The 23410-nt window shown below is 44.9% G+C and overlaps 1 protein-coding gene across 8 annotated transcripts in view, besides 3 other annotated features; it reads right to left on the bottom strand.

The window, feature by feature from the left end:
* PRKCA (protein kinase C alpha) overlaps window positions 1-23410 on the bottom strand; it is a 508131-nt gene that overhangs the window by 366288 nt on the left and 118433 nt on the right. The window contains exon 3 of one of the 8 annotated variants that reach the window (XM_047436388.1): window positions 12362-12449. The exons of the other annotated variants lie outside the window; for them this stretch is intronic. The gene's annotated coding sequence lies outside the window, so the exon portion shown is untranslated. The remainder of the gene's footprint in view (window positions 1-12361; window positions 12450-23410) is intronic. 8 annotated transcript variants of the gene reach the window in all.
* Window positions 2792-2991: an enhancer, noted in NCBI's record as "active region_12613". NCBI's record gives its function as "activates an Ori minimal core promoter by ATAC-STARR-seq in GM12878 lymphoblastoid cells {active_cell/tissue: GM12878}" and the evidence as "EXISTENCE:reporter gene assay evidence [ECO:0000049][PMID:35858748]".
* Window positions 6659-6859: a silencer, noted in NCBI's record as "peak2944 fragment used in MPRA reporter construct". NCBI's record gives its function as "represses an SCP1 promoter by STARR-seq MPRAs in K562 erythroleukemia cells {active_cell/tissue: K562}" and the evidence as "EXISTENCE:reporter gene assay evidence [ECO:0000049][PMID:32103011]".
* Window positions 10525-10722: a silencer, noted in NCBI's record as "fragment chr17:64429852-64430049 (GRCh37/hg19 assembly coordinates)". NCBI's record gives its function as "represses an EF-1alpha promoter that drives an FKBP-Casp9 reporter gene in an ReSE screen in HepG2 liver carcinoma cells {active_cell/tissue: HepG2}" and the evidence as "EXISTENCE:reporter gene assay evidence [ECO:0000049][PMID:32094911]".

Raw genomic sequence — 23410 nt, 5'->3', positions numbered from 1 at the left:
TCTGAGAATCCACACCCCCAGCCATCATAGATGTACCTCCAAGAAATAAAAGGCGGCCCATTAAACTATGACAGGCCATCATGTAAGACACCTCTGGATTCCAGAACGTTGAACTATGAAAGCACACACATCTGGGATTCCATGAGAGTTGGTGGCAAGCCAGTTTCTCTCTATCTGAAGTGCCTTGACTACAGGAACTAGACCCTGTTCAACTCTTTATTCAGAACCTGTAGAGCCAGGTCAGCACCCAGGGAGCCCTCAGCAAACACATTCCTGATAACTTGGATGGTATGACATCTCGCGCCTTTGAATCCATGAGTATTTACTCAGCTTTGTGCTAACACCAGTACTAGGAACTGGCATTTGAGTCACAATTATCTTGTCAGGTTTTATCCTTATCATCCCCCAATTACAGAATGAGAAACTGAGACTCAGAAAAAGACTCAACAGCCTTCTGAGGCTCGTGAGGCGGAGGGCACAGGTCTCAACTCAAGTCTGCCCAGGTCCGAAGCCATCATTAGATTTCCTGACCGCCTGCGTTTCTGGGTTAAGTCTGTGCTCAGATGTAGCGGGTATCCATTCACACACTTTTCCTCCTCCCTTGGTACCTTGCCAGCCTAATTCACTGCCTCTGCAAGCAGAGAACATTCTTTTTCATTAGGTGTGGGTGGTCAGGAATTTAATATTAGCTAACTTCTCCCCCTGCCCTTTCCTCCATCCTCTGCGGTCTTTACTTCTCTCATTAAATGGGCCACACATGTCATCGTGAGGACTACCATTCAGTAGCAAGTCATTTACCAAGGGCCTGTCCCGTTTCAGGGCAGGCAGCACAGCAGGCTGTGTGTGGACTCAGTTTCATAGAGCCCAACATGCCACCATGTCACTCACCATAACAGACATTTACCTGCAGCTGAAGAAAAGGGTATCATGCACTGAGTGGGTTATTTATTGAGTCAAGTTCATTCTTCCATAAACTCTCATGGGCACACTCTACAGCCAGAGCAAACGGGCTTCCTGTTTAATACACAACGACATCTAAGAAGCCTCACTTTATTTCTTAGCCTCTAGTTTCCAAGGCTACACTTCTTTCCAAGAGTAACAAATGCCAACAACCTCATCATAGTTTTCCCCTAAGTTACTTCCCATTCATTATTTTCTAGCCTCCAGTTAGAATGCAGCTGGTGAGGGACTGGCCCCCTCATCATTATAACATTGAACAGACAGGCATAGAAACAATTCAGAAAGAGCAGTCCCAGCATCAAACCAGAACCAGAAGGTCTTGATTCCAGACCCTCATGGACCACTTGCAGCAAATGGGGCAAAAGTTTCTGAACACCTCTGAGCTTCAGCTGTTTGTCTATAAAATAAGGTTTCTACTAACCAACGGGAGTCCAAGAGATCAAATGAGATATGATGTGTGTAGCTGCACAAACGTCAGATGATAACCAAAAAAGGGACGATGGCCAGGGCTCCTGCCAGAGTCACCTCGTGTTCAGGTCAACAATGGCAGCGTTTATGGTTCCCAAAAGGTGAGAACAGTTACCGGCTCTGAGGCAAACAGGGATCCAGGAATTGCTCATAACCACTCAATTCTGGAAGTTATCTCAAAAGAGAGAAAAGTGTGTCCATGTATGTAAGAAAAGGCAAAAAATGGATATGAAACACAAACACCTGACAAATGAGTACTTACATGTGCTATGGGTTGGGGTTCAAGGGTAAACAACAAAACAGCCCCTGGCCTCGCTAAGCTTGCAGTCTAATGGGAGAGGTGAACATGAATTAAATAATTATCAAACAAAATTCTGCATTACAGCTGGGATGGAGGCTATGAAGAAAAAGTGTGGGTGATGAGGAGAGGCGGCTGGAGACGCAGGGCAGCTGATGATACAGGGCCTTGTAGGCCAGTTTAAGGATCCTGGACTTCATCCTAGAAGCAATGGGAAGCCTTTAAATGATTACAGGCAGAAAGCGTGGGGTGGAGCTGGGAATGCTAAAGATCACTCTCTGAAGTGGAAAAGAGATTGAAGGAGGGAGGGGGCCAGGAATGGGTACAGGGAGGCCAGGTGAGGAGCTGGGGGACTGTAACATCATGATGTTACAGGCAGGTGCAGTGGCTCACGCCTGTAATCCCAGCACTTTGGGAGGCCTGGGTGGGTGGATCACTTGAGGTCAGGAGTTCAAGACCAGCCTGGCCAGTATGAAACCCTGTCTCAACTAAAAAAAAAAAAAATCAGCCAGGCATGGCAGGCACCTGTAGCCCCAGCTACTTGGGAGGCTGAGGCAGGAGAATCGCTTGAATCCAGGAGGCAGAGGTCACAGTCAGTTAAGATCGTGCCACTGCACTCACACCTGGCAACAGAGCGAGACTCCATCTCAAAGAAAAAAAAAAGAGAGAGAGACTAACATCATGATGAAAAACATGATGCTATATAAAAAATATCCCTTGGCAGAGTTGGGGCCCTAAAGCCAAACTGTCTGGAACCTGGGCACAGTCCTGTGTGATATTTCCATCTGTCCGCCCGTCCATCCATCCACCCACATTTATTAGTGGAGTGAAATGCCGTGGTATAAACATCTCTGGGACCATCACCCAGAGAGGACACCATTAGCATCTATTATGGTATAAATATACATACGTCATAGCTTTCAGAAGGTCTAAGAGGAAAAATCATTTCAGTGTAAATTAAATGTTCCTTGTCTTCACCTGAAAAAAAAAGTATTATTTTGAGAACAAAAACATGAAAACTGGCTACAGGTTGAAAAAACCGCACAGCAGCTATCCGTGCCTCCTTTAGAAAGGGGATCACAGGCATTGACTTCCACTCAGAGGAGGTGCACAGACGTCCCCAGTGTGCCCAGAAACCACCTGAAGAGGAGAAGCAGCTCTGAGACGAGAGTCGTATGAAGATGTACAAAAATAAACATTTTCAAGGGTTTTCAAATACATGAGCAAACAGATGGGGTTTCAGTTCATTTTTAGAAACAGAAGCAGACTTTGAAGTGAAAGGGGAAGTAGGTTCCCCCTCAGGGATCCACGATCTCCCTCCACTTAGGAAAGAGGAGATGGCCAGAACTGTGAGCTTAAGAGCACCCCAATCTTTTTTTTTTTTTGGAAACAGGGCGTTGTTCTGTCGTCCAAGCTGGAATGCAGAGGTGTGATCACAGCTCACTGCAATCTCGAACTCCTGGCCTCAGGCCATCCTTCTGCCTCAGCCTCCTGAGGAGCTTGGCACCACAGGCACGTACCATCATGCCTAGCTAATTTACTTTTTTTTTTTTTTTTTTTTTTTTTTGGAGACAGAGTTTCGCTTTGTCTCCCAGGCTGGAGTGCAGTGCCGCGATCTGGGCTCAATGCAACATCCGTCTCCCGGGTCCAAGGAATTCTCATGCCTCAGCCTCTTGAGTAGCTGGGATTACAGGTGCCTGCTACCACGCCCGGCTAATTTTTTGTATTTTTAGTAGAGACAGGGTTCACCATGTTGCCAGGCTGATCTCAAACTCCTAAGCTCAGGCAATCCACCCGCCTCAGCCTCCCAAAATGCTGGGATTACAGGCATGAGCCACCATACCCGGCCCTGACTAATTTACTTTTCATTGAGATGGGGTCTTACGGTGTTGCCAGGGCTGGTCTCAAACTCCTGGGCTCAAGCAATCCTCCCATCTCAGCCTCCCAAAGTGCTGGGGTTCCCGGCCTGAGTCATCATGCCCAACCAATCTTTTAAGTGCTGGGATCTTGAAGAGTGTCCCTCACTGGCTCTCACTAGCCCACCCTCGGTCTGTGGGTTGTCCAGGCCTCAAAAAAGCCCCCTTGACCACCAGTCCCAGACTAGGTAACACCCCGGTTGTATGCACTTCCAGCATCCTATAGTTCTCCTGCCTGTCACTCACTGCCGCTGTGGCTCTGTCACTATTTGAGGATTTCCTGAATACCCATCTCTCTGCTACACTCTAAGCTCTGAAGGGGCAGGGGCCTCTTCTTGTCAGCAAAGTCTATCTTAGGACTCTAGAAATAGAAAGCAGGAGATGGAGACATGTGCTGACTTCCCGAATAACCCAATTCATTCAAAGTAATTATGTTTATAAAATACAGAGAGAAGAAACAAATGAACATTGGCTATACGTTAGGCACCACACTCTTCAGGTACAAAGGATCAGGAGTCCTTTCCGTCCTGTAGCTTTAGGGAACTGGTGGGGGGCTCTTAAAACCATGGGGTCTGGACTCATTTTGGGCTATTTTTATTCGCCTTGTCAGTCACTTGAGTTTAATCAATTCAATGTGGTCATAATCACTGAGAAGTCAATGACTTGGATCTAGGATTTTAGGACTTGGTGTTTCTGGCATTTCATAGGAAATAAATAAATCAAAGCCTACAGTAAGCAACCTTCTTAATACATCTTGGAAGGGGGGAAAACCCCAAGACCCTTATTTAGGATGAATATATTAATACAATACAAAGCACCCAACTTCTTTCTGGGAATGACTTAGGAAATCCATCAGCAGAAGGAGACAGTTGCACTTATTATGGGATTTCTAGGGCATGGGGGCGCAAAGACCAAAAAGAGTCTTGTTTTACTTTTCAAAACATGGAAATGCTGATTCCCTTTCTCTGCTTATGCTATCCAGGTCCTTAAGGTAAAATGCACAAAAGGTTTTCTTGGCAAATGATGAAAAATAGTGCTTCTTGCCAAAACGAACATCAGCAAAAGACCATGCGCCATGACCTATAGTATCCTTTGACAAAATGCAGATAAGCAGAGACCCCAGGCACCCTATTTTGCAACTGTGGTCCTCTACAAACCTCCAACGTGAAGGATCTCAAACTGTAAAGCACAGAGGACAACGAGGAGCCCTGTAAGAGCTGCAGAGCTATTTGAGAGACACGTATTTTGGAAAAGGACAGTAATAGGCCAGCCTATGCCATTTGTGGAAATGGTAGAGCAACATAATTTTTTTCACCTGTATAATGTGGGTAAAAGGCCGGGCACGATGGCTCATGCCTGTAATCCCAGCACTTCGGGAGGGCAAGGCAGGCAGATCACAAGGTCAGGAGTTCGAGACCAGCCTGGCCAATATGCTGAAACCCTGTCTCTACTAAAAAATACAAAAATTAGCCAGGTATGGTGGTGCACACCTGTAGTCCCAGCTACTCGGGAGGCTGAGGCAGAAGAGTCACTTGAACCTGGGAGGCGGAGGTTGCAGTGAGCTGAGATTGTGCCACTGCACTCCAGCCTGGACAACAAAGCAAGACTCTGTCTCAATAAAAAAAAGAAAGAAAAGAAAAGTGGGTAACAGTAGTATTTAATGTAGTACAGGCTGTTGGGAGGGTTGAATGAAATTAAACAAGACACAGAATATAAAGCGCTCAGTACAGTGCCTTATGCACTGAGGTCTTCAAGAAATGTCAGTTACTGCTGACAATAATGATGACAGGCCATTATTCCTACCACTGTTGAGAGGGGATGTTTCATTCCCTGTTCTCCCCTCAATCACTGATATGGTTTGGCTGTGTCCCCACCCAAATTTCATCTTGAATTGTAGTTCCCATAATCCCCACATGTCGTAGGAGGGACTAGGCAGAGATAATTGAATCATGGGGGGCAGTATCCCCCATCCTGTTCTCGTGAGAGTTAGTTTCTCACAAGAGCTGATGGTTTTATAAGGGGCTTCCCCCTTCACTGAGCACTCGTTCATTCTCCTTCCTGCTGCGCTGTAAAGAAGGACATGTTTGCTTCCCCTTCCACCATGATTGTGAGTTTCCTGAGGCCTCCCCAGCCATGCAGAACCATGAATCAATTAAACCTCTTTCCTTTATAAAGTACCTGGTCTCAGGTAGTATCTTTGCAGCAATATGAGAACAGACTAATACAATCATCTTCTCTTTTTACTCTGTTTTAAATGAAATAACCGGTTCTTAAAAATAATGTTCCACGAATGCTCAAAGCCAACTCAACAGAGTTTTCAAACAACTTGTTTCCTAAAGCTCTCCATTATTCGAGCTTTTTATGGCCAGGAAAAAGCCCAGTTGGGTGTTCACAGGTTTGGGCTCCCAATCTCACACCACTCAACTCATTTCACAAGGGCACGTGTCCAGACATCATCAACTGGAAATATGAGAGCTACCCATGGCAAGAGACACTGAAATGCCGGAATTCGCCCTTTACCTACTGAGCTGCTTTGCTGATAGAGGAACTGAAAGAATACAGTTCCTCAGGACTGTCACTGCCAAGCAAGTGCGGGGTCCCAAGGTCACCAGATCCTTTAATCCTGCAGGTCTTTCTCAACCGCAGTCACACAAGATGAAGGGCAGGGAGAAGGGGGACCCGTTCAGAACAGAGACCCCTCAGCTCTTCTGCTGCCTGAGCCCTGTTCTTTCAGGACATTGTTCCCCATCCTCTTTGAGGGTTTGGGAGTTTCTCTTTTCCACACACACCCACCCCCCAAACCCCACCAGACTGTATAAAGGGCACAGTAGCACCTAGTCCAGAATCCTTGAGTATACTTGCAAAATCACTTATTTACTCCTGGTATCCAAATATGAAGAGAACCTGTTAAAAGGTATTTATAGACATAAGTGAGTTCTTAGAAAGGATGTGCAGAAAACTAAGCAGAAACAGAGACGGAGATGAGTTCACCTATGAGGGTTTGAACTGTCTAAGGAAATATCCAACTCATTTTTGCTAATCTCCAGTTTGAAGCCGCCCCCGCCCCACCCACCCCCCGCTCAAAAAAAAAAAGGAAACTTGAAACAACTACCCAGTTGCTTCTGGGACCCACAGCATCCTGACTCAGGTTTCTCTAGGGTTTCCTGTTCCTAAATTGTGTCTGCTCGGGGGACTGCCAAGCAAGCAGGCAGGTCCTCTGGCTCTGGGGCTCTGCTCCCACCAAAAGACACCCTATCTGTCAGTGAGAAAAAGCAAATTCTTTGTAAACTGTTTCCAAAAGTTATGTTTCCTGGGAGACAAGACCTCTTTAAAATAAAAGCTTTTTAAAACTCCCTGAGTTACTTCTTTCCCAATGCTTAGAAGCAGTATGAATAAGAAACTTATCATTTGAAAAACAAAACAAAATGCTGGAAGTTTCTTAAGGTTTGAGAAGCATCGACATTTATACCAGTCACAGGCAGATATTTATTATGATGGAGAAAACCTGTTCTCAGCCTGTGCCTTCCCCTGGATCCAGATTTCTCCACCACTGCACACATCTGCCCACCATTGTTTGCCAAAAAAGGTCCTCTCCACCTGCTCAGCAGGGCCTTTCTCCTCTGTGTTCCCCATGCTGCCAACTCCCTACCTGGTCTCCCACATGCATTCCTGCCTGCATTTGTATTTCTAATTTCTTGCCCTCTATTAGTTCTCTTTGTATAGCTTTTAAATTCTTAACTCCTGGCTTCGTTTGCTCTGCTGCCTCTTCTAAGCACCACTCCATCTTTTTCCTATAATCTCCCATCACGGTTCCCATATCCCATAAACTCTGGCTTCTCAATCATCCCACAGCTGAACGGCTCTAGCATGTTTAATAATATTCAAGCCTAATCAGTGGTACATTATGTTAGCCTCAATTTTCACTTAATTCTCATTGTATCTGACTTATACGACATCTTTAAAAAAAATTCTCCTTCCTCGGTTCCCATGACAACACAGTCTCTCGATTTGCCTCCTAATTCTCTGGTTATTCCATTGTCTGTGTCTTTCTTGAATTTCTCACTGTGCTCCCACCAATCCACAGAGGTATTTCCCAAGGCACAGCGTTGAGCTCCATTTCCACTCATCCTCCCTTTATCAAGCTCTGAGTTCACTCCATTAGCAAGATCCTTTCTTCTCAGACTTTCATCGTCCACCTCTCTGCGACTGATTCCCAAATCTAGACTTATCCTCACTCCCATAACTGGTTCCACACCTATGTCTGACTTTCAATACAATGAATATTCACCGTAATAAAAGCACTGGCATTCAGTGGGTACTTACCACACGCCAGGCACTGTTCTAACCATTTCACGTGTGTTCTCTCACTTAATCCTCGCCACCACCTTCTGAGGTAGGTGCTATTTTCACCCTCATAAATGGGGAAAACAGACAGAGGTTCATTTGGTCAAGGTTGCAAAAGCTAATGACTGGTAGAACCGGGGTTTGACCCAGATGATTGCAGAGTCCAGAATCCAAACTTCAGGGACATACTGCCTCTCCTCTCTTGAAGAGTGCTAAGACTTCCCCCTGCTAAGTCATTCATCTCCAGCTTTCACAAGATTTTCATTCAACATCAATGCCATCCAACCTCTTGATTCTCAAGCACTGAAGACTTGGAATTATTTTTCTTCACTCTTTTTCTTTACCATCCAATTATTGAACAAATCCTGGTAACTTTTCTCCATAATGCCTGAAAATGGGACCCCCCTTTTCCCCTGCCAGCCATCACCAGTTTCCACCCATTTGCACCATGGATCCACTCAGAAGCTGCAGTGGTTTCCTCTTGCCCATGATGACAAAGCTACTTTCCTTATCCTGTAACTTGGCCTCTCCAATCCTAACCTCACTACTAGGTTCAACAGAGCATGGGTCCTTCACGATGGTCATGTCAAACACGCAATCTCCTTTATTCTTAGCGCTATGCCTGCATCCACTTAACTCATGGCATCCTCTCTATCTGGAAACCTCTCTTCACATTTTTTGGCTTTAAGACACAGCTTAAGACCACCCCCCTCCCCCAAAAAGTCCTCCATGCTTGCTCATCAGAACCGCCCCATAGACTTCGCACTTCATGCGCATTGTTTTAAACACATCTTTTCACATTTCTTTTTGTCAGTGCTTTATATCTTCCCAATTTTATATAACACTTTTTCTCCCCACCAAATTTGCACACACCCACCTCTCCCTCCTCCCTCCCAGAGGCCTAGTCCAGGGCTAAGTAAACAGGCTACCTGCTTTTATGGAACATAGATACCTTATAGATACCTTTTGTAGGCGGCATCTGTGATTCCGTGAGTGCGTCTCGCGATTGCCAATAAGAACACAGCACACAAGCACCATCACACCCACACGACAAAACGCCGGCTGCACGGGACTGCAGCCTTATTGTCACAACATTTTGAGCTTTCTGACAACATAAGCTGCACTTACAAAGAAGTCAGAGCAAGGAAAGAAAAGTCTCAAACTGTGCTAGTTAGTTGGTCTAGCAAGGTACTGTGATAGCAACTTAAGTGGGGGAGAATCAGGAAGGCATTGGACAGAGAGGGCCAGGACGCAGTCCCCAGGCTGAAACCCCTGGATGCAGCACTAGCCCCTCTTTGCCCTCAAGCTTAGCAAAAGCGTCTATTGCATTCTGATTTCAAGCACATTAGACCCCATGGTAAAAGCCTGGCATTTGAATTTATTTATTTCATTCATACATCAAAGGTTACTCCCAAGAATACAAACAGCAAAGTAGAAATAAAGGTGAAAATCAGCATTAGGGAAAATGTCGATCAAACCAAAGAGTCAAGTTTGAGAAACAAGACTAATGTAAATATTCAAGCTAGGATTTCATGAGTGGTGATAGTTCTGTGAACATTAATGGGATAGTTACTGTGTTCTAGGAAGGCTCTCAGCCCTTGATGTTATGATTGTACTTGTTCCTCATAATAACCCCACAAGGTAGGTAGTAAATACTGTAGCCCAGGAATTGTTATTAGGACTGCTGGGGTGCTATCATTCTAACCCAGGCAAGAGAAGTTAAGCAAGCTGTCTAGGCCATGCAGCTAACAAGCCGAGGAACCAAAGTTTGAACCTGGGCAATCTGACTCCAAGGCCACATTCGGGGAAAAAAGGCGTGTGCCTAGGAACAAAGAAGCAGCTACACATCTGGCTCTGTGCTTCCAGATCACCATAGCAAAGGGGGAAATCGTCAAAATGCCAGCACCAACTACAGAAATGGGGAGCTTTGCTAAAACAACTCCAGCAGCGGTGGCTGGAATGAATTAAGCATCCTCCTGTTTCTGACCTCTCCCTGTTCACCCAAGGACAGGATCTATAAGCTCAGATCAGTGCATCATCCATGTTTCCCAAATCATCATTGAAAGCCATTGTTTTCCTTTCATTCAGGTCCCTCTTAGCACTGTGAGGCTCATGATGTCTTCACAAGGTCTTCAAACACTGCACTTGATAAGCCACATTGTAAAGTCTAATGAAGACGGGCTGTCTTCCATTCACACTCCCATCCTACCCCTTGATGGCATTAAACTGCCAGCCCCCATTAAAGGATGCTGCCTTCTCTCCCAGTTAAGCTGCTCCAAACCTCAAGACTCAAGCAGAAATAGGACCCATTTGCCCAAGAGTTCCTGCTGGCACCTGACAAGCCCAGGGTGACAGCAAGAGGCCCAAGAAGAGTGTGGCAGGAGAGAAAGAGCTCAGGCTGAGGGAAGCTAGAAGTCAGGGTCCATCCTGGCTCTGCTGCTCCTGGCTCAGGAGATTCACCTCCGTGCGCCCTACCTGCTCCATCCACAAACTGAGGAAGCCTGACCAGGGCAAGGCCTACTAATGAGGAAGACTGAGGGTCCTCAGGGAAACTCAGTTAACAACCAGGTGCCCAGGCCTCACTGCTGGAGGTTTGAGTGAGATGTTTCAGAAACTCCTCAGGTGGACTGGGTGCAGTGGCTCACACCTATAATCCCAACACTTTGGGAGGCCAAGATGGGTGGATGATTTGAGCTCAGGAGTTCGAGACCAGCGTGGGCAACATGGTGAAACCCAGTCTCTACTAAAATATAAAAAATGGGCAGGGCGTGGTGACGGGTGCCTGTAGTCCCAGCTACTCGGGAGGCTGTGGCCTGAGAATTGCTTGAACCCGGGAGGCAGAGGTTGCAGTGAGCTGAGAGAACACCACTGCACTCCAGCCTGGGTGACAGAGCAAGACTCTGTCTCCATAAAAAACAAAAATGAAAAAAACTCCTCAGATCAACTTCTGAGCTGGAGGAACTCAAGCTCCATCCCTGCTCCTTTAGCTACTCCATCCATAAACAAGCAAACACGCATCCTCACTTGGTGTTTCAGAGAAAGGAGAGCAGAAGAGGAAGTGGGAGGGATCTGCAATAGCTCAGCAGGGAGAGAGGCTGCTCTTGACTATGTTTATAGGAAACTTCAGTGGAGGTAATTTCATTAGAAGATGCCTCCAGGGCCAGGACCAGGGCCAGGGCCGGGGCCAGAGCTGGGGCCGGGGCTGCAGGGAAGCTCTGGGCCCTGGGGTTTCCTCCAGGGCACACACTACTGGGAACACATACACTGAGGTATACACGGCCTTCCAAAAGCATCCCAGCTATTGGAACACTTAATCTCTAGAGTTCTTGCTTTTAAAAAAAGGCAGTGAGGGTATATCCAAACTAGGAGGCAGGGATTATTAATTCTAGCTGCCACCTTCTGGTTTTCTGAACTACCTCCTTCCCCCCGGCTAACTGCACACATCAGAGTCTAGTTTTGGACACTTAACCTTCAGTAGCTCACACCTCACAAAGAGCCTGGCTTCACAAGCTGCCCTCTCACTTACTGAAAGGTCTTAGGTTGGTACAAAAGTAATTGCAGTTTTTCCCATTAAAAAAATAGCAAAAACCACAATTACTTTTGCTCCAACCAAATACACAATAGGCTGACTGCAAAGGTGGGGGTTTTGGGGCTTTATCAGTACTGATGGGTCCTGTGCTGACTTAGAAACAAAATCTGACCTGCTCAGTGCACTGGTGGTATCACTTATTCAATCAACAAACAGCAACTACAGACCTACTACATGCAAAATACCAAAGAAACTCACAAGAATAAGGCCCAGTCCCTGGCATCAAGACTCTTAAGATCTCAAGAAGTGACAAGGCCTAGGTTCTCCAACTGGCCAAATACAGGAACTTAGAAAAGCCCCATGACCTCCCTAAGCCGTAGTTTTCTCACATATTTAATGCAAATGAAAATCAGACCCCCTGAAAATAAAATATTATCAGGGAGGAAGATTAATCACCACAGGGAAGATTCTCCCTGAGGGTCTCTCCTGAAGCTTTGTCTGAGAAAACATCAAAAAGCGTATGTGGAGGAAGAGTGTGCTTGGGGGAAGTAAAGGTGGGGGAATGATCTGTAGTCATGGTAACAAGAAACTACCAGTTTAAGAATCAATGACAGCTCAGAACCAGTACACGGGCTTCTGACATCCCCATGCTTTTGTCAACAGCTGATCAACAAGGCACTCATCCAAGGACCCTGCTAATGACCTCTCACTCCCACCTCTCAAAGCCTGACCAGCCTCGAACTTCACGCTTCCCAAGATCCTAAACAAGATCGGCTCCCAGCTTTGCTGAGGAAAGCTGCCACTGAAGAGAGCTCTGCTTCTTACTTGCATGAGTAATAAATTTACCTTGTTGTTGCAAATTTTTGGCAATGTTCTCTTTCTTGAATATGAGTCACTAAAACATTCTCCCCTTCCTTTCAGGGCATGTTTCAGCCTAAGGATAAAAAAAGGGAACGGTCTTGAAAGTGCTTTGGAAATGCTGATTTGAAATGAAAAAAGAATTAGGATGCGGGGGGAAATTATTACTGGTTTTCCATGGGACGGGTCCTCAGGTTTACCCAGTGCCAATTTGGCCTTGCTTCAGACATAATTCTGCTATACTTAATTATTGGCTTTCAGTGAAGATTAAAAGCTGCAAATGATGTGCGGAAGAGGGACAGAGCTGGCAACCAGGGTTGAACTACTAATGTGTCCAACTCAGGAATCAATTCCATTTAGTGCTAAATTCTTAGTTTCAGAAGGAATTTAAGAGTAATACAATGGAGGGGAAGGGCATGTGTGTCACTGATGAGCATGGACTTTGCTGGAGCGCAGAGGGGAAGCGACAGCTACCCAGAGTGAAGCTTTCTCAGCCAACCTCTGGAGAGCAGAGACTAAACTTCTGCAATATTTCTGATGCAACCAACTTTATTCTGACCAATTTGGATCATGAGCCACAGGAAGAAATGAAACTCAAATTATTTGTCCTGCAGACAAATGAAAACATGAGGCCACCTTTCCTGAAGAAACGTGCTTGTTCCATTAAGAAAAGTATGAAAAGATCAGAATGACCCAAGAAAAGAAAAAAGCAACAAGATGAATTCATTTCCATGACTATTGTCCGGCACAGCTGCACTGAACTCATTTGCATCGCTATTAAATAGCCCTAATAAATATGAATATTGCGCAACATAAAGCACGTAAAAGGTCCATGTTTGAAATATCTAAAAGTATCAAAAACAATAAACCCAGTAGCCCAAGGAACTTCAAATACATTGTTATTCTTCCCATCAGAAGGACAGTAAATTAGTGGACAATTATGAGAAGAAAGTAAGCATTCTGAAAGCTAGTCATTAGTGGTACACAAACAAGAATAAATTTTCCAGTGTGAACAATAAGGGCTGGCTGTGATTTTATTACAAACTGGAGGCCCAAACCATGCTTTCAGAAAGCAGTTTCACCCCATGAAGCAAATTAACACTCCACTTTTCCTTGGGGCCTGTGATTTCCTTGGAAAGCCCTCTGCCAGTCAGTAAGTGGGACTTTTCCTCTCTGCATGGAAGGTAAAGGATTGGTTGGAGGAACTGAAGTAATCAGCAGTAATCAAGCTACAGTGCTGGGAGCCCTGGCCTAAAACAGCCGTCTTCAACTCTGCATCCTATCACTTGGCCATTTCCTAGTGCCCCAGAAAGTCTCCTGAAGGCCACCTTGCTCCTCATCTATGTGGACAAAGGCAAAGGAGGAATGGTAGAGAAGGGCAAATGAACCTTGTCCTGCAAGTTCTCTGCACCATGAATGAAAATCAAGCACTAATGGAGGAAGATCTGTAAGGGTTTCAATCTGGAACCTCTTTGTGGCTCAGTGCACCACAGGGCTGGCCCCCTAAGGACCTGCATCAGACCCATGCCCCAGATTTAGGCTTCAACCCTGAGAGAGAGAGACCACCCCTTAAGAATAGGGGAGGAACACAGCAGATGCCTCAGATGGCTTACCACGAACCCAAGCACAGGTTTTGACTACAGGGAGACCTCTGTCATGCCTCTGGTCCCAGGGCCATGACTCCAGATACTGGCTCTTCCGGAGCCATGGCCCTGGGAAAGGAGGCATGGCAGAGGTGTCCCTGTAGTCAGCTGGGGGCTGAGGCTGCAAAAGCTGATGATGCCGGATGGGCACCACACTCTGCCCCCTGTATTCGGTGTTGCCCCCCAGAGCCTAGAGGCTCCAGGGACTTGAAATGGGGAAAGGCGGGAGACTGTTCTCTCTCCGCATGGATCCGCTCAAAGCCTGAAGAGGAACCTTGATGGAAAAGGAGGATGAGGGCCAGTTCCCAGCAGAGCAGGGAAGAGCTCATCAGGGGCTGTGCAGACAAAGAAAACGGAACTTTCATCCAGAACCACCCAACAGATAAGTACATCTATAATTTTCTCTATCATATAAAGAGTGTGTAGCTCAGGAGTCCTTGAAGGGTGCAGAGAAAAGCAGTATTCTATCACACAGACCACAGAGATGCTGGTCACAAGCCTAAGCAGATGCTTACATCCATGAACCCAAATCTGCTAAGAATAAAGGTTTCACTTCAGTAAAAGGTCTTAAAGCAATCAGAGAACTACATAAACCACCACTCCCAGCATTCCTATAGTAACTTCTTCCTATCCGTCACATTAATTCTCTTACCCAATGTATACTCTCATGAAGATGGACTCTACCTTTGCCTAAATTTTGCAGGGAGGTACAGGCAGGATTGGGGGCAGGGAGGATAGGGCAGTGAGGAGAGAAGGAACCAGATAGGCGGTAGCTTCCCTCTATGAAAAGAATCAGCAGTTGGACCTTAGGTGAGGAAGTTACCTCAGTTTCCTCATTTGGAAAAAAAAATGGACTAGATGCAACTATCACTAAATCTCTTCCCAGCCCTAATATTCCATGCAATGTACATGCAACCCCTCACTACTAACTGGTTATTAAATGATAATCACAAATCAAACCACAGTGAAGTAGAAAACTCTCACTTCCCAGAGCTGTAATGGTACAGACTGAGGTTCTGTTTCTAAAAATCAATTTCAAACGTTAAATATATCAAAACCCATCATGAAAAGAAAGTAAAACCCCATGTATGCATTCAGACACATGTATTACGTTCATGAAACCCAACGATATTAAAGCTAAGTTGTCAATCTTCATTTTGGAAGATGTTTCTACTATGCGGAGCTTGACTACTGAAGCAGCCTTAACACAAGTCTTATAAAATTAGGAGTAAAGCACATTTATTTAACACATATTTATGAAGCATCTACTAGATACCAAGCACTATGTCAGATTTTAGCTGAACAAAACCAGACACAGTCCACACTCTCAAGAAGTTTGGATCTGGCGGAAGAGCGTGAAAAACTACCACAAAAAGAAATCTCCTGCTGACAAAAAAGGTGTTCTTTATCACCCCCAAAGATCTTCCAACTACATTTAAAAATAAGACAATTTATCTCAAACTTTACCTAATACTTTCATGTACATTAATGGCTCTTAAACGTCTTCAGGTAGTATATGCTTAAGTACGAGTTTAAATTTACAGTGACTCCTTCAATGATCCTTTACTCTCTATTTCATCAAAATTAAGTATCTGCAGCAGGCAAGGAGTAGCAGCCTTCTCCTTCAAGATTTTCAGGCTGGGCGCGGTGGCTCACACCTATAATCCCGGCAATTTGGGAGGCCAGAGTGGGCGGATCACTTGAGGTCAGGAGTTCGAGACCAGCCTGAGCAACATAGTGAAAACCCATCTCTACCAAAAATATAAAAATTAGCTGGGCATGGTGATACATGACTGTAGTCCCAGCTTCTCGGGAGGCTGAAGCAGGAGAATTGCTTAAACCCAGGAGGTGAAGGTTGCAGTGAGCCAAGATTGTGCCACTGCACTCTAGCCTGGGTGACAGAGCGAGATTCTATCTCAAAAAAAAAAAAAAAGAAAGAAAAATTTTTCAGCTTAACTTTTCTGGACTATCTTTTTCAACTTTCTTGAAATGTCTTGTGCAGTTTCCCTTGAATTCTAATGTGATTTCAACTGGTTTTATTCCCCCTGAAGTGATCAAATAAATCATCTTTGGTTCATGCTGTCTTCCTTTGACATCTCACCTGTTCATTAGTATTTTGAAGACAGCTCGATATCGGTGCTGGAATCCCTGCTTCCTGCAAAGGCCTATGGATTCGACCTTCTCTAATCACACATCCCTGCCATCAAATCAATCTATCAGGTTTCTTTATCCCTGTTGACTCTGGCACAGCAGTGCCTACAACCTTCATGCAACATCAGCCACAGAGAGTGGAATCGAAGTGAATCACGTGAGTCGGGCAATTACTGTGTAAAAGCACCATTTACGATGAGAAAAAAATCATACAAGTAAGGGGCTATCAGTCAAACCATTATACATGAGGGTCTCATATATACCTTAAGTCTTTGCTCAGTACCAGCACAGCAGAGGTCAGGAGGAGGAATCACAGAGGCCACAAAAACAAGTTACATGGGATGCATTTTTGCCTAACTTTGTCCTCGTTTGGAGCAAGTCAGATTAAACATTAACTTTCATAATCTAGGACCATCAAGATGCATCCTAGGTTCTCAGGTGAAATATCTGAAACATTTCTTTTAATTTATGCCAATAAATTGATCTTCCCACTCATTCCCTTTTTAAGCACCTGCCATCTTGGCTTTTCACCACCACATTGAAATTGCAACAAATCTGCACTTGATGTTATAAATCCCCCCATACTTAGAAACTCTTTCTTAACTGCTTTCTGTGATATGAAAGTGAATCCCAAATGCACATCTTCAGTCCTGACAGCACAACAGCTCTAGAAAGCCCTTGCCTACAGGACAATCTCCAGTTAAGAGGTACAAAACAAGGCCAGCATCTTAAACAGGCTTTGGCTACAAATAAACAGAAAACCTAACTCAAAATGGCTTAGACCAGAAGTGAACAAACTTTTTCTCTAAAAGACCAGATAGCAAATATTTAAGGCTTTGTGAACCATACTGTCTCTCTTTCATAACTACTCAATTCCACCACTGCAATGCAAAAGCAGCCACAGACAATATGACATTGCTGCATGCCAATAAAACTTTATTTACAAAAAACAAGTGAGGCCAGGCATGGTGGTGCATGCCTATGATCCCAGCACTTTGGGAGGCCAAGGCGGGTGGATTGCCTGAGCTTAGGAGTTCAAAACCAGCCTGGGTAACATGGCAAAACCTCGTCTCTACGAGAAATACAAAAATTAGCCAGACATGGTGGCACACACCTGTAGTCCCAGCTACTTAGGAGGCTGAGGTGGGAGGATCACTTGAGCCCGGGAGGTGGAGGTTGCAGTGAGCCAAGACTGCACCACTATGCTCCTGGAAGACAGAGCAAGACCTCGTCTCTTAAAAATTAAAAAAAAAATTTTTTTTTAAGTGGCTGGTGTCTCATGGACCATAGTTTGCCAACCCCTGCCTTAAACAATAAAGGTTAATAATCTTACAAAAAGGTCTGAGGCAGGAAAACCCCAGGGTTAATTAATTTAGCCACTCAACCACCTACGAAGTTCCTGTTTCCTTCTGCCAGCTTTCCTCATGGTCACAGGATGGCTGCCACTGCTCCAGGAGATACATGCACGCATGGCAACATCCAGCAGCAGCTGAAACAACCTCTTCTTTGTGTCCCTTTTTAGGGTAAAGAAACCTTTCTCAGAAGTTACCTGCTCACTAACAGGAATCACATGCCCACCCTTGAAGGGTATTCCCACGACTGTCTCAAAGCAGTCAGGATTTACCCAAGTTACAAGGGCAAGGGTTGGACAGTTGAACAAAACGGGGGTTCTTGCAGCACAGGAAGAGGAATGGCTCTGGTGTAGATAGTACTGGTGCCAGCAGATGGTGCTACAATAATCTTCCTCCTCAAACCACCTCCCCTCTGCAACCACCCAAATCTTTTAACGTTTCACTTACTCCTTCCTGTCTTCCTGTCTGTTTACTCCGCCTCCCTGGACCATTGACACAACCTGAAATCTTGCTCCTGTATAATCACTTTGCACAACACAGGCTGCCTAACCTTTATGGTCAAACACCACTCCCAAGTTGTCACTCACTAGTGTTTCTCCTCAAAAACTTACAAAAGTTCCTATAGATGATGAAAACCAATTCCTCAGTCGGGCAGAAGGGCGTGACTTCTTGCCAACCTTTCCTTCCCCACCCTACACCAGCACTCCCCACTCCAGCTGGACTGTCTGATCATCGTTCCCCGAATATCCTGGTTCATGTTCACCTCTATCCTAGACTTTCACTCTTGCTTCCTTCCTAACCTGAAATGCCCTATGTTCCTGCAAATAATGACACTTTTCTCATTTTCTAATGCTGGTAGACACAGAAAAAGTAATCCAACGTAGACAAAGGAGGCCTGGGTGTGACTCCTAGCCAGCTCGGCCATTTGCTGCTACATCATCCCTTGCCCAGACAGGGACTCACTGTGCTCAACCACAAAGCATGGTCACGGAGGGTAATTCACAGGATCACTACCAGGACGAAATATGTGTGGTGACACCATACCTGGCATGCAACGGCTTCCTTCCTCCTCCTAACCGGCACCACCTCTAAGAATCCTTTTAACACCATTCCTGCTTCCACAATTTAATGCCGTTTGCATTGGGGTTACCATGTCGCACATACCTTAGAGTTCTTGAAAGGGTAAGATACACGCAAACAAATAATATGCTAACTGAATCGCTGGGTTTCCAAAAAAAAGACACAACACATTCTTTTCTAAGATCGCTAAAATCGCTTTCCATGCAACACTGTTTAGTTTCAGAATCAGGTAAACAGGTCACAGGAACACCATTATTTTTCTCTTCCTACCAGGTATTATGAATATACCTTCAAATGTGATTTTTTTCATGAGACTGCCACCCGACACATTTGACAATGAAAACAAAAGGCCTCAAACAACAGTTTGATATGGAATTGAGAGATTTTCTCCAGACAATAAGCAACAAATAACAATACTCTATCACAGCACCGTGGGGAAGGCCTGGCCTGGGTGGGCAGGACAGAAAAATACCAAACCACACACAGAACAAAGTGAGGACAGTAAGCCTGAGCAGTGCGATCAAATCTGTCAGAGGGCTCGGTGGTTGTAGCCTTGGAGGGAGAGGTCTGTGGATGTTGGTGGAGGTGGGAGAAGAAGGGTCTCGCAGGGATGCGGCCTGTCTGAATTAATCACGAAAAGAAAAGAACTAGCAGCATTCAGTGATTCTGAAAACTTTGGCTACGTTTACTCAAAAATTGTGCAGCTTCTGGGAGCGACAGGACCAACGACTATTTCTTGAATGTTCAAATATGAGCCAGACTTTACTAGACTCTTCTATATAGCAACAGTATACAGGCTGGGCACGGTGGATCATGCCTGTAATCCCAACACATTGGGAGGCCAAGGAGGGTGGATCGCTGGAGCCCAGGAGTTCGAGACCAGCCTGGGCAACACAGTAAAACCCCATCTCTACTAAAAAAATACACACACAAAAAAAAATTAGCCAGGCACGGTGGTGCAGGACTGTAGTCCCAGCTACTCGGGAGGCTGAGGCGGGAGAATCGCTTGAGCCCGGGTGGTTGAGGCTGCAATGAGCCCAGATCATGCCACTGCATTCCAGCCTGGGTGTCACAGCAAGACTCTGTCACAAAAAAAAGGCGGTGGGGGTGGGGGGAACAGCACAGAAACCTATCAATGCATTCCTTACATTGTGCATAGACACATTAAGACAAATTCAGAATATTTATGGATCTTTCATACATTGATTTTTCCAGATTTGGAAGACTTCCATCCCTATCAGTAACTTACTTCAAAGATGTGTGTGTGTGTGTGTGTGTGTGTGTGTGTTTGAGACAGGGTCGTGCTCTGCTGCCTCGGCTATAGTGCAGTGGTGCCATCTCAGGTCAGTGCAATCTCTGCCTCCTGGGTTCAAGCAATTCTCATGCCTCAGCCTCCCAAGTAGCTGGGATTACAGATGCCGCCATCATGCCTGGCTGATTTTTTTATTTTTAGTAGAGTTTCAACATGTTGCCCAGGCTGGTCTTGAACTCCTGGCCTCAAGTGATCCACCAGCCTCGGCCTCCCAAAGTGCTGGGATTACAGGCGTGAGCCACCGGGCCCAGCCTCAAGTAATATTTTTTAAAATATGTGAGGTTCCAGGAGAATGGGAGTTTATATTAGATAGGCATCAAAGAAAACCATCATCATGCGTAATATCCAGAATACTTGCTGTTGCTTTTCTCCAGAAAGATATTCAAAACGTGAAGTGCAAGCTGAGACAAAGCCTTTGACTAAGGAAAGAAATGATGCTTGTCCCGAAGAAATACAATGGGAAAGAATGGTCCTCCTCCAGAGCCTCCCCCTAGGAGTTCACAGCTCTCTACACTTCTGCTAAGACAGCATTATCATAATGCTGCAAAGTGCCAAAGAGAATTGTTTTAATAAACAGGGTTTTTATGCTCTTAAAAAACTTGAAGACAAGCACTTGATTCTATTAGCTAAAGTACACTGCAGCTAGCAAAGGATTCACGGTGGAATGGAGCCACATACTGCTGTCTCCAAACTGACATCACCGGCACTTAAAAGATTGAATTCTTAAACACATTCGGCTCCAGGGAAGCGCTCCCAGACTAATTAGAGTTATCCATGCAAAGTTCTAGAACTATAAGTGTGCTTTAAATATTTTTTACTGCATGGTATGATTGTGTTTCTCAACTGGGGGAGGCCACTCAACTAAACCATAATTACTATTGCAGATTACCTGGGAAGAAAAACAGTATGCATTAAAGGCTTCAGTAACAGCCAGCTTTAAAGCACAGACAGTGACCAGGACTGTCAGATGACTTCCCTAGGGGACTTTCTTCTGAGTCAGGTAATTATTGTATGTAAATGATGCTTCTAAAGAGATCTGTAAGTAATGAACATCTTTCTTAGTCATATCATTCCAAACTATTGTTAGTAAATCCCTTGTTTATAGATAAAAATTTGAGTCCAACCTCTCTGAATTATCAAACTATCAAACCTGCAAAATCCAAATAAGGCAAGATTTCCAAATATGGGATCATAAACATGTTAAGCACAACTTTTCACTATGGTGCATAAAAGGTTGCATCAGACAAGAAACCGGGCATAAAACAAAGTACTACCAGCTTGATGACATGAGGGGCAAAATCCTCGCTGCATTCCGGTGAGACTCTCTCAGCATCATGAATAAAATTAAATCACTATCAATCCCCAACGCTTTTGCTAACAGAGTCCAGAGTTCTAAGAGTACCTCCTTCTCTGCAATAATACTTTTTTTTTTTGAGACAAGGTCTCGCTTTTATCACCCAGGCTGGAGTGCAATGGCGTGATCTGGGCTCACTGCAACCTCCACCTCCCTGGTTCAAGCGATTCTCCTGCCTCAGCCTCCCGAGTAGCTAGGATTACAGGTGCCTGCCACTATGCTCAGCTAATTTTTCTATTTTTAGTAGAGACGGGGTTTCACCATGTTGGCCAGGCTGGTCTCGAACTCCTGACCTCAGGCGATCCACCTGCCTCAGCCTCCCAAAGCGCTAGGATTACAGGTGTGAGCCACCATGCCCGGCCTGCAATAATGCTTTAATGAGGTGAGAGCACTATCTACCTGTGGTTATTGAATGAATCCAAGATTGCTTATAAATAATCCAACCACTGTGTTAAAAATAAGAGTGTCACGGTATATAAAAATGGTTTGACACGGGCTCTCTTATGTCCTAGATTGCATGATGCTGCTGGAAAGACAGGACTGGCTAAAAGAAGTTGGTCCTGTTGACTGGCTTCAGTGTGAGATTCTCTATTTCTATATTATTGCACAGAGCCCTGAAGCCAGTGAAAATCCTCACTGCCCTTCTGGGCCTTTAGAACATTTTGAAACTAACATGTCTTCAGGGCATTCCTTTATCCTTCTTCCAGATATGACATGTATTCATCCAATAATATCCAACCTATATTTATTGAGGGCTTACGCTATGCTCTAGGTGCTAGGGATACAGTTTTATGAATAAAACAAAATTCCTGTTTCATGTTCTAATCCATGACACATCAAATAATTATTAACTGAGCTCTTGAAACAGAACTGCCAATGTACTACGAAAAAGTGAAGTGGGTGTTATGAGCTGAACCTCACCCCCCAAAAATTCATGTTAGTCTCCCCTCAAATCACTCATGTTAAAGTCCCAATCCCCAGTATCTCAGAATGTGACCTTATTTGGAAATAGGACCTTTTAGAAAGGCAAGAGGGTTATATGAGGTCATTAAGGTGGGCCCTAATCTGGTAGGACTGGGATCTTTATGAGAAGAGATTATGACAAACAAGGACAGAGAGAAAACCACGTAAAGATACAAGGAGGAGATGGCATCGACGAGGCAAGGAGAGAAGCTCCAGACAAAACCAACCCCCTGCTGACACCTTGATCTTAAACATCTAGCCACCAGAATTGTGAAAAAATAAACTTCTGCTGTTTAAGCTACCCAGTCTGTGGTACTCTGTCACAGCAGCCCTAGCAAACTAAACAGTGGGTAAAAAGGAAAAAGTAGAGAAAAAGAAATTTCAAGGCCAGGCATGGTGGTTCACACCTGTAATCCCAACACTTTGGGAGGCCAAGGCGGGTGGATCACTTGAGGCCAGGAGTTGGAGACAAGCCTGGCCAACATGATGAAACCCAGTCTCCACTAAAAGAAAAAAAAAAAAAAAAAATTAGCCAGGCCTGGTGGCGGGTGCCTGTAATCCCAGCTACCTGGGAGGCTGAGGCAGGAGAATTGCTTGAACCTGGGAGATGGAGGCTGCAGTGAGCTGAGATGGTGCCACTATACTCCAGCCTGAATAATAGAGTAAGACTCTGTCTCAAAAAAAGAAAGAAAAGAGAAGAGAAGAGAAGAGAAGAAAGAAGAAAGAAAATTTCAGAGCTATCTTTCCCTATAAAGCTGAAAATCACTTGATAGAGCTATAAAAAAAAAAAAAAAAAAAACAGAGGCTGTGGCTGAGTTCTGACATAATTACACAAACTGACAATAGAGGTAAGTGGTCAAAGGGAAAAGGGACTGCCCCTTCCTTCCAGAAAGGCAAAAACCTGAAACTGGCCCCTAAAGCAGTTCTCTGTTCCATTAGAAGAGCCTGTGAACTCCCATGACAAACACCAAAATCTTTTTACTCTCTCTCTAAATTACTCAACCAAAATCCTTTAGTTTCACTTATCTTCCTCCTGAGCAAAAGCAGAAGGCAGTATGCATGTGCCCAACTGGAGTAGCCATCAGGCAAGCATTTTATCAGGCAAGCATTTTTCAACTTCACTGGAGTAGCCATCCAACATGCGTTTTTCATCTTCATTGTGCAATGACGCTTGGACTCCGT

Source organism: Homo sapiens, chromosome 17 (assembly GCF_000001405.40).
Source record: "Homo sapiens chromosome 17, GRCh38.p14 Primary Assembly".
Classification (NCBI taxonomy): domain Eukaryota; kingdom Metazoa; phylum Chordata; class Mammalia; order Primates; family Hominidae; genus Homo; species Homo sapiens.
Note: the sequence above shows the minus strand (reverse complement) of the source record. Positions and strands in the feature narration are given on the sequence as shown.